General features: G+C 33.7%; 1 long non-coding RNA gene across 1 annotated transcript in view; it reads right to left on the reverse strand.

Moving 5' to 3' along the window:
* Window positions 1-416: 416 nt before the first annotated feature.
* LOC105374434 (uncharacterized) overlaps window positions 417-12,267 on the reverse strand; it is a 33,835-nt gene continuing 21,984 nt past the window's right edge. Inside the window, exons 2-3 of the long non-coding RNA XR_925268.1 lie at window positions 11,467-11,593; window positions 417-477 (exon numbers count right to left, since the gene is read on the reverse strand). This is a non-coding gene — a long non-coding RNA (uncharacterized LOC105374434). The remainder of the gene's footprint in view (window positions 478-11,466; window positions 11,594-12,267) is intronic.

A 12,267-nucleotide genomic window follows, 5' to 3' on the forward strand; every position in this document is an offset into this window, starting at 1 on the left:
AGGATATGCTTGCCTAGCCTCATTACTGCACATAAATACACTTTCCACATGCTGACTTTGCTTTGTAGGAGGCAGAAAAAACAGATTCTATTCAGTACATGTGATGCCTACTGCACCTCTGCAGAGAATTCCTTCCCTTTGGTAAGGATGTCATCTACTCACCATTTCAGGGTAATGTTTGAAGGTTTCATTGGTTTGGTTTTGTTTATAAGGGTCAAAAAGAAGTCAGTAAGCATTAAATACAATCTAGCAGAAGGCTGTACAGCCCAAGTTAGTTTCAGTAAAACCAAATTTCCAGAAAATGTAATTCTGTTATTGGCTGAGGCTATTAGCAACCAGGAGGTGGTAGTGGAGACGATGAATGTTGTTATTTAAGCTAAAGAAACATAAGGCTACTCCCCAGTATTCATCTTACTTAGCCAGATCTTTATAGACTTCAGACCAGGGTCTGTTCCAGTAGGAGCCACGTTGCTTTCTCTGGAAAAAGAAAAGTACGAATTAGAATATAAAATTCTGAACCCTGGGGACCCATGGCCCCAGCCTGTCACTTGTTTCAATTATTGACTTGTAATAAGCACCCTTGAAGAATAGAGTTGTTGAATGACTAAATGTGCCATCTCTGGAGTAACATTTCCCATTTGACCACTTTAGTCTTAACAATGCATGCCAACATATATTATTTTGTGAATGATAAATAATTCATATGATGACTCATACTATGCAGGGTTTTTCCTTGAGAGAATGACACCATTCATACAACTCTATCATGATAATGAGGCAGAATCTGCCTTCAAATATTACTTTCCCCCCAAATTTAGACATATAGAGAACCATAATAAGTCTTTTAAGAAATATTTCATTGATCGGTTTCTTGCGTAATAGATCATGGAGAATTGGTGAAAAAAAAATAGAAGAATCTTGAAGCACATGTTGAGAACTGACACTCCAGTGTGGCTAGCTGAGAATTTTCTTATGATATAATCATTTTAGAAAGGAAGAGAAGGAGATGAATATATTACTAAGATAAGATATAGGCTTACAAGGTAACTAGATCCATTTTCTGGGGAGTAGACTAAATGAGTTATCGCAGAAACAGAGCAGGGGCCAAAAAGTTTTTTTTTTTTTTTTTTTTTTTTTTTTTTGAGACAGTCTCGTTCTGTCCCCCAGGCTGGAGTGCAGTGGCGCGATCTCGGCTCACTGCAAGCTCCGCCTCCCGGGTTCACGCCATTCTCCTGCCTCAGCCTCCCGAGTAGCTGGGACTACAGGCGCCCGCCACCACGCCTGGCTAATTTTTTGTATTTTTAGTAGAGACGGGGTTTCACCATGTTAGCCAGGATGGTCTGGATCTCCTGACCTCGTGATCCACCCGCCTCTGCCTCCCAAAGTGCTGGGGTTACAGGCGTGAGCCACTGCTCCTGGCCTAAGAAGTTTTAATAATACAGATTGCACTGAGCTGCTTTGAATGCTCAGTAATGCCAATAAACATAATGCACTGCATTAAGATTAAAGAGAACCTTCTTTTGAGCTGCTGAATTAAACAGGGATGTTCTCTAAGGACACACACACACACACACACACACACACACACACACACACTCAACTTTAATAGGCATCATCAAAACATTGCCTGCTTTTTTTCTCTTAATTAATCTTTAGTTGCAACCCACTTTAAATATTATACAGAGAAATTTTCATTTTGATTTCATAGATGTAGTACAATTACTCATTGATTAATCTGACAAAATAAATCTGTTTCAAATTTAGAAACTCCTCAAACTTTTCCAGTTTTAGGGTTTATTTTGGAGATCTGCAATTAGCAAGAAAACATTTTGGGTTTACTAAAATTATTTTTTCATTTAATTCTGTAATAGATATATTAATGCCAGCAATATGTAATGAAGGTATTTCACAAGTATTTATTGAGTGCCAGCTCTGTGTCTCACACTGGCCTAGGTGCTGGGAATTTAGCAGTGAATAAAAAATAAAATTTTTGCCTTGGTGGGGCTGGTATTTCAGTGAAATCCCTTATTTGCATTGCCCTTTTGAGATTTAAAGAGCTTTCTCTTTCTCTTCTTTTCCACTTACTACAGTTTTCATATGGGGTTGTTGCGTCAGGCATTATCAATAACACTTTTTACAAATAAAGAGAAAAAAGCTTAAGTGATTTTCCCCAAATTTGTACAGGTGTGGAAAAGCACGATCTCTTTCACTAATCTTAAATTATTCTAAGTAATAAACTGATTCTAAATGCTAAAAACTTGTTTCTTTCTGTCTTAAAAATGTCTGTATGCAATGCTTTTATTTACATGTTAAAAATACAATGTGATGCTCAGAATTGAATATCTAGTGAACAGTTCTTCTACTTGTTTAATTAATGTGTGTGCTGTATCTCAGAGATGACCATACCTAAAATATAAGATAGTGGTTCTTATCTATTAGTTCCCAGGATTTGGACTACGAATATACATAATTAAGTCGTTCTACCCAGTCAGCTCAGACCAAATGTCTGTTCATCTGAATGTAGCCAATTGTGGTGAACTGAGTATCAATCGGCTCTGAAAAATGTAGGTCCAAAGATAAGTTACAGTTCATCCTTGCCTTAAGAGTCATAAGTATCCAATAGAAAAAGTCTATAACTAATCATTGCAGCAGCACAATCTGTGATTGTTTATTAATGGAAACTTCATGGGAGCAGAGACTCTATTTGTCTATGAGTGCATTTTCAGTGCCTGAAACAAAATAACCTCTTAGTAAATATTTATTAAATAAAGAATGGATACAAGCGCTGTAAGAGACGTATGCACTAGGTTTATTCTGTTGGGCTTAGGACTAATTGGAAACTCAGTCAATAGGGGTAAATCTTTGATCTGAGCCTATGATCATTATTAGGAGGACATTCATTCATTCACTCATTCATTCATTTGCTCATTCATTCAAGTTTTCATTCAACAAATATTGTACTGTCAATATAGTATTGACCAATTATTATATAAGAGAAATTGTCAATATAGTATCTACCAATTACTATATAACAGAAATTGTCTTAGATGTTGAAAGATGGAACCACATTGCCATCAAGGAGCTTGGAGTCTAAGAAGCCATACATGCAAATACTGAAAAAACATCGAAGTTGCTGCAATATTGCATTGAATATAAACTAGTACCTGCATATAGTAGGCTTCTAATAAATAACTAGAAAGTGAATGACTGGAAGAACAGAATGAGATGCCTCTGAATCTTCTAGGCAAATCAGAGAAGACATCCCAAAAAAGACGATTTGAATTTTTACCAGAAGGATTGAAAGTGAAGGTCTGTGGCATGAGAGACCATAATGGGTTCAGGGAAATTGCAATAATTTCTGGGGTATGAAATGCAAACTCAAGTAGAATGATTATCAAAGGTCATGAGTCTGTATACAAAGGCAGAAGTCAGTTCGTAAAAGGCCTTGTGTTAACATTCTAAGAATTTAGATTACTTTTCTTCTGTGAGAAAGGAGGAGGCTTTGGAGTTTTGAACAAAGAGGAATGTGAATAGGTTGATCTATGAGAAACTTCTTTTTATCTGCAACATATTGGAAAATGGCTTTTTGTGATCCTCTATGTAAGATAAGTACCCACACCTCACACTTTATCCTCTTACCTTTCTTTGTTTTTCGTTACAATAATTTTCTTTTTAACAGACTCGCATCACTAATCCATTTACGGTTTGCTTTTATTTAGCTATTTAACTAGTCGTTTTTAACATTATAAGAAGTACCTGTGTACCTAACCAAAAACAAAAATTGGGAACTCAATAACAACAATAACCTGTGTGTAAATATGATTTTCTCTAGCAACTCATTGTCCTGACTTTCCCTGAAAGACTTAGCCAGTATTATGAAGCTTGTGTTCCTCATTCACTCTTTCTTTTTCTGTGGTTTAGCTGAATTTATATGTATTCTAAAAAAGCATGATTTTGCTTTATTTATTTTTAATTTCATTAATAGGGCATCATATTTTAGACTCATTTTCACTTTTTAAATTTTTTTCCATGTAGATAAGTTTTGACTGTTTTTAAAATATTCCTTTATATCACTGCACCATAGATAATTTAAATTGTTTTGAAGGGACAGTTATTGTGATCAGTTACTATGAAAATTATTTTATGTGGATTCTGTTTTGCTTGCACAAGTGTTTCTTTTGCATATATACTAACAAGTGAAAGGGCACCAGCACCAGGAATGTAGAAGAGCTATTTTGCATTCACTTTGTCCTGAGAATTGTTATTGTTTACCACTGAAATATTTGCCAGTGAAATAGAAGTAATATAGTATCTATTATTTCTTGATTTTTATTTCCCTGCTGTGTTAATCAGTTTTCATGCTCCTAATAAAGACATATCCAAAACTGGGAAGAAAAACTGGTTTAATGGACTTACAGTTCCACATGGCTGGGGAGGCCTCACAATCATGATGGAAGACAAGGAGGAGCAAGTCACATCCTTCATGATGGTGGCAGGCAAAGAGAGAGAGCTTGTGCAGAGGAACTCCTCTTTATAAAATCATCAGATCTTGTGAGATTTATTCACTATCAGGAGAACAGCATGAGAAAGACCTGCCCCCCATGATTCAATTATGTCCCACTTGTTCCCTCTCATGAAACGTGGGAATCATGGGAGTTACAATTCAAGATGAGATTTGGGTGAGGACATAACCAAACTGCATCGTGTGGTCACTAATGATACTGAATATTTCATACATATTTATCAGACATATGTATTTCCTCAACTCTGAAATGTTGAAATGAACTTCAACTCTGAGTTTTGTTCCTTTTCTACTATTGTGCTGATGTTTTATTTGTTGGCATTATTTATACACTTCGACAAATAAATATGTATATATATTTACAGTTTATGACAAACAAAAATATATATATTTACAGTTTACATCATGGTGCTCTGATATATGTATACTTGGTGAAATGATAACCACAATCAACCTAACATATCCATAATCTGACATAGTTACCATTTATATGTGTGTGTGTGTGTGTGTGTGTGTGTGTGTTTGTGTGTGTGTGGTGAGAACATTTAAGATCTATTATTCTCTTAGTAGATTTCAAGTATACAGTACAGTATTAACCATAGTCATTATGATATATGCCACATTTTCTTTAACCATTCATCCATCAATGGACAATTGGCTGTTTCCATATCTTGGCATCTTGGCTATTGTGAATAATGCTGCACTGAACATGAGAGTACAGCTATCTCTTTAGATACTGATTCAATTTTCTTTACATATATATCCAGAAGTGGGATTACTGGAACATATAGTAGTTCTATTTTTAATTTATTGAGGGATTCTCCATATTTTCCATATGGCTGTACCCATTTACATTCCCACCAACATTATGTAAGCCTTCCCTTTTCTCCACACCCACACCAACATTTATCTTTTGTATTTTTGATAACAGTCATCTTAACAGGTGTAAGGTGATATTAATTGTGGTTTTAATTTATATTCCTTCATTGTTAGTGATGTTGGACATATTTTTTTCATATACCTATTCACCATTTATTTGTATGTCTTCTTTTGAGAAATGTCTATTCAGGTCCTTTGCCCAATTTTAATCAGAATATTTGTTTTCTTGTTGTTGGGTTGTTTGAGTTCCTTATAGATTTTGTTTTCTAACCCCTTATCAGATACATGGTTTGCAAATATTTTTTCCCATTTTCCAGGTTATCTCTTCACTCTATTGGTTACTTTCTTTGCTGTGAAGGAACTTTATAGTTTGATGTAATCCATTTTTCTATTTCTGCTTTTGCTGCCTATACTTTTTATGTCATATCCAAAAAATCATTGCGCAAATTAATGTCAAGAAGCTTTTCTCTTATAGTAGTTTTATAATTTTATGTCTTACATTCAAGTCTTTAATTCATCTTGCATTTGTATTTGTTTATGGTGTGAGATAAAAGTCCAATTTCATTTGTCTGCCTGTGGATATTCCATTTTCCTAACACTAATTATTGAAGAGACTATCCTTTCTCCATTGATCCTTTCTCCATTGTGTGCTCTTTGTACCTTTGTTGAAGATTAGTTGACTGTAAATGTATGAATTTATTTTGGGGCTCTTTATTCTGTTCTGTTGGCCCGTATTTCTGTTTTTATTCCAGAATTGTACTGTTCTTATTCCAGTATCATACTATTTTTATTACTATAGCTTTGTAATATATTTTGAATTCAGGTAGTGTGATGCCTCCAGCCTTGTTCTTTTGGCTAAAAATTAGACTATTTGAGGTCTTTTGTGTTTCCATATAAATTTTGGGATTTTTTTTATTTCTGTAAAAATTAACTTTGGAATTTTTATAGAGATTTCATTGAATCTGTAGATTGCTTTGAGTAGTATGGACATTTTAATAATTTTTTTTTCAATCCACAAACACAGGATATTTTTTCATTTTGCCAATATGATAGCTATTTTCTCTAGTATTTGGATAATATCATCCTATTGTCTTTTGGCTCTAGCCCTACAATTATTAAGTAACATTGAAATGTGCCCCATTGTAAGGCACAAAATAGATTCTGGAACTAGCCTCTGTGAGTTTACATTTTGAATTATATCTGTGTTACCTGATTCAATAGATTATTCTTCAAGACCAAAAGTCAGTCTCCGGAAATATCAGGCACCATTGAATACTAGATAAACTACTTAATGAGTAGGTAACTTACTGTTTGAAAAGCTCATTCATAAGCCAGCAGATTGAAACAACCATAATTTTTGTAGGGTCTTACCTTACTTTAGAGATTACATAATAAAAATTACAGCAATATGCATAAAAAATGTTATAACACAGACTTGAATATATTTGAAAAAATATTTTTAGATGGCACAAAACAGGTGTAGAGTGTGATTTATAGTATAAGATCTGAAAACTGATTGGTTTCAAACCATAGCACTACCTCTTAGCAGCTATGAAACAAGAAACAGTTAATTTCTTTGAGCCTCAATTTTCTCACATGTGAAATAAAGATAGAGCTTTTGTGATTAGAAAGCAAGATAATCTATATAAAGTGCTTAGCACAGAGCCTGGCTCCTGGTAAATCCTTAATTAATGTAAGTTGTTAGTTGTATGGCCACTTGTAAGGCTTTTGCTGACATATTTTTCTTCTGTTTCCCAGAGTTGAATTTAATTTATAAGCATATAAAAGAACTTTCAAAGGATTTGGAAAATATACATTCATATACCTTTAGAAATGAGGGAAACATAGATTTTATCAGATCTATTGAAGTGTTTTGTACTTGTGGAAACTGAAATAAAGTGAAATATTTTACATCATTAACACCAGATTTTAGACTAGAACCTCTGCCTTTACAGCAATTTTTCATTCAGTGGACTCTCTACTACCTAAGATGCTGGTCACCATAAGCATTTGAAAACAAAACTGGAAAAGTCTGGAATAATTGGATGTAGATAGTTTCCAAATGTGAGCTATTAATTTGAGACATGAACAAGCATGTTTCCTTCCCCATCTTGACCCTCCATTCAAGATTTTACGTAAAAATGATTTCATTAAGTTTTTTACATTCATCAGAATGAGGCCTAAAAGTACATAAAATAGAACAAGTTAAAACATTAAATTGTAATGTGTTTGAAAACTTGATTCTATGCCAATGAAACTATAAGAAACAATGTCTATAAGGAACAGAGTCTGGTGAAGGAAACAGATTTGTTCAGCAAGAAAAAAAATCATAAACATGATGAGATTTCAAAATGCCTGAGACTTAGAAGTGCTAAATTAAAATGTTTGGAATGAATAAATTATATAAGAAAAATGGATTAATCAAGGTATGAGTACTTAAATTTGAGAACTTTATGTAAGATGATTTAAGTGATATGGAGGTTAATGTGGTTTAAGTTTTGGGGTGCTAGCTCTCTCAGTTCTCTGAGAATGTAACTGACCCTACTCAAGCTTCGTTCAGTCACTTTCTACCAGTCTAGACCCCAGCACTGGAGTTTTCAGCTCTATTTATGATGGTGCTGTTTCTGATATATAGAAAAACAGGACATTTTAGATGGCAGGTTTACCAGTCTGGCACTTTCCCCACCTATAACACAATGGGAATCACTAAAGTGGAAAAACATTAGAAATATAAAACCTTTTAGGTTGCCTAGTATTTAGCTAGATGGCCCAACAAAGATAATGTGTTTTCCAAATGCTACTGTTTTCTCAAGGATGGAAATGAAATGAATATTTTCCCACCACCACCTAGTGCTGCCTTGATAATATTCTCTGATGCACCAGATGGTGGAAAACAAACTTATTTTTCCATAGCTTTCTTGATTGAGCAGTTATTTATATGCCAATGGGATCCATTTATCCACCTTTATTATAAGGCTTTTCATCCTTATAGACAATAAATTCAAATAAAACAATCCTGGTAAGTTGATATACTTTATCCAACAGATGAGCTGAAGTGTATCAGGGTATTTATTGTACTTACTGTTCGCCCAGCAGCTTATTACTTCCTCCAAAAAGCAGAAGAATACAGAAATGGCGTTACAAGAAAAAATACTCTGTGCCTTAATAATTGTACTATTGAGGACAGTTTGGAGGCTCTGCAAAAACTAAAAATAGAACTACCATATCAATCCCACTGGTGTGTATATACCCCAAAGAAGGGAAATCAGAATATGGAAAAACTATCTGTACTCCCACGTTTATTGCAGCACTCTTCACAAGAGCCAAGGTTTTGAAGCAACCTAAGTGTCCATCAACAGATAAATGGATAAAAAATATGGACTTATGCACAATAAGGTACTATTCAGCTATAAAACAGAATGAGGTCTTGTTATTTGCAACAGTATGGATGGAACTAGAGGTTATCATGTTAAGCAAAATAAGTCAGGTACAGAAAGACAAGCGTCACATATTCTCACTTATTTGTGGGATATAAACTTCAAAATAATTAAACACATGGAGCTAGAGAATAGAAGGATGGTTACCAGAAGGTGGGAAGGGTATTGGGAGGTGGGGTGGAAGTGGGGGTGGTTAATGGGTACAAAAACACTTTGAAAGAATAAATAATACCTAGTATTTGATAGCACAACAAAGTGACTATAGTCAAAGTAATTTAATTGTAAATTTTAAAATAACTTAAAAATATAATTGAATGGTTTGTAATCCAAAGTATAAATGCTTGAAAAAAAATATATATGCCATTTTATTTTACATGCATGGCAGTCTTGAGGAGTAGCTATAATTAATATATTGATATTAATTAATTAATTAAGGAGTAGATATAATTAATATACATCTTGAATATATATACTCTCTATATACTCTCTATATTTCATATATATACTATATATACTCAATATATATACTATACATACTATATTTTATATATGTACACATATATATAGTATCCACAAAAATTAACAACAAAAAATATTTAGCTGTATCAGCATCTGCTGGAGGGCTTGTTAAAACACAGGTTGCCGGACTCTATCCCTAGAGATTTGAATCAAGCAGTCTGGGTTAGGAACGCACAATTTTGCATTTCTGATGAGTTCCCAGTTGCTGCTAATGCTGCTGGTGCAGGGACAACACTTTGAGAATCCCTGGGTTAGGCTGAAACGATGATGACAAAAGTTTATGAGTTTACCTTTATATTTGACTATTATAGCTCCTTAACGTCCAGCTAACTTGATTTATTTAGGCTCCATACTGTAGACATTTTCTAATAAATCATTACCTTCCAAAAATAACATGACAAGAAGGAGGCTGTGTGAAAAAAGTGTTTGCTGCAGGGTATTTTTGCCATTGAAATAGTACCAAGTTTCATATGGGAAATTTCAAGGTACTATACTTTTTTCCTCTCCTTTTATATTCAAGGAATTATATTCATGCATCCGAGAAGAGAAAAAGAAAATTACATGCCTTACAATGACTTTCTCAAATCCTTCATTCAATCATTTAAATTATTTCGACAGTGCCTTCATTATTATCTGCAAGTAGTTAATCTCATTTGAGAGACACCTATGGTGAAATTCTAGATCACTCAAACCCACAGTGTGCAGAAGAATTTCTGGTACTGTTTTTCATTCAGGTTATAAAAGAAAGTTATTATTTTAACTTGAACAAAAAATAAAAACTCATGTTATTTTTTTTCCTAAGAAAAGGGCTCAAAATGGAAATGACAACAGAAATTTTACTGTAAAAACATGTTGGGTGTTGGTATCTTGTTCCAGATTCTATATACAATATTGAGCTGCAAAATCAAAGAATGGTCTTCTACAGTGACATGAATGTGGACAAATAAAAAAGAAATATTGATTGTAAGAACTAAAATGAACATTCAGCCCATACTTCCTTTTTCTGACACAAGAATACATGTTTTGGTACTATCCATATTAGGGTTGAATCCAGGCTCAGCCACTTACTAGCTATTTGACATTAGATAATTTATGTAAACTTTCACAGTAGTAAAATTAATTATATCTATTCCTCAAGACTACCATGCATGTAAAATAAAATGGCATCAATAAAGCACCCAATATGTTATCTAACACACGATAGCTGTTTATTAAATAGTAGTATTCCTACTCATAAAAGGTCATCAAGCTTCACCTTGAACATATTCATTGGTGAGCTACTTATTCTCTTGTAAATTTATTCCATTTATAGAGTAGTTTCCAAATTTGAAGAGTTTCTCTATGTCAACATACTTCATTTCAGCTGCCATAAATTACAGCAACCACAATACGTTAGAGGATAAAAGGAGGAAAACTTTCAGCAATAGCAAAGTATTTTACTATCAAACTTGAGACTAGATAAACTTCGAGAAGTAATATAATACAAAATTTATATTTTGTATTATAAATTATAAGTAATATAATACAAAAATTTAAATACCAAAGGAAGGTGGAAATATAAAGCCCTTGATATGAAGTTTGTCTTAGTTTTGACAAGTAATAGGTATCACTGAAAAAAATGTTGGCATAGATATCGTATCCTAGGACTTTTTTATTTCTCTCATCCTTCTCGACCCCTTGCTTGCATTTCGTTTATTATATTTAGGCTAGACTAGGCTGTGCTGCATAACAAACAACACAAAATCTCAACGGTTTAAACAAAACAAAGGCATAATTTTCACACTCCGTGTCCAGTGGGGGCCAGCTGGGATATCTGATCTATCTATGCCGTTCTCACTTCTGGACTCTGACTGATAGAACAGATTTTTTTCTGGAATATTGTCATTGAGTATAGCATGTTCCTGCATTTAAAGGTTCCACCTGGAAGTGACACATTACTTCTTTTCACATTTTATTAGCTAAAGTAAGTTAGTTGACTTTTCTTGAATTAAAGGGAGGGGGGCGGTAAGTACTATCTTACCATGTGCCCAAGAGTAGAGAACAAAATGTTCGTGAACAGCACAAATAACTTCTTCAGTATTGTTTGCTAATTCCACCTCTGAGAAATACCTGTTTTCCCCTTTCGTAAAATAGAATTATGTTGCTTCCCCTGCTAGTTTCTTCTCTTCTTCTGCTAGTTCTTTTTCTTCCTCTTACCCCATTCTTTAATTTTGCAGCTCTATATCTTATATTGCATCTGGAACAAAAGACCAAGATCCAAAATGTTAATGAAAAAAAGATTTATTCTGTGTCATTTGTATTTTTGTCATTTGAAATTAACAGGCATTTCCCCTTAACATTAACCTTCGCTGGTTTGTGCTTTCTCATTCTCTTTCATAATTTTATCCACCCATAAAACATTAATTATTAAAAATATGTAGATAATTCTTATGTCAACAACTTTTTGTCTTTCCTGTATTCCAGGCATATATTTTTGGGAGAATATCCACCAGGATGATTCACAGCACTTGAATTTTCCTAGTCTTTCAGGAGTCAAGAAATCCAGTAATTTTAGAGATTCACTTTTTCCCAATATATCTACTCTTTTTTTTGTATTTTTTCTTCTTATATTGCTTTACAATCTAGCCTTTCTTCCAAGAACTATCTAATCAAGCAATTTCTCACTAGAGTCAACTGTTTTATCCCCTTCCCTTTGTTCGTACTTTACAGGAAAAACAAACAAAAAGACAACTTTATCAATCCAACTGGTTGTCTTTTCTGTTTCTATGTCAGAAATGTTGGGAAACACTGATAAAATTCATTTAACTACACGAAATAATGTCACTGTGACTTCATTGTCAACAAATTTATATCAGCTCTCAATGTTCAACAAAGCTTGAGTCTGTATTTACTGTGCTAAAACAATTTTCT

Source organism: Homo sapiens, chromosome 4 (assembly GCF_000001405.40).
Source record: "Homo sapiens chromosome 4, GRCh38.p14 Primary Assembly".
Taxonomy (NCBI): domain Eukaryota; kingdom Metazoa; phylum Chordata; class Mammalia; order Primates; family Hominidae; genus Homo; species Homo sapiens.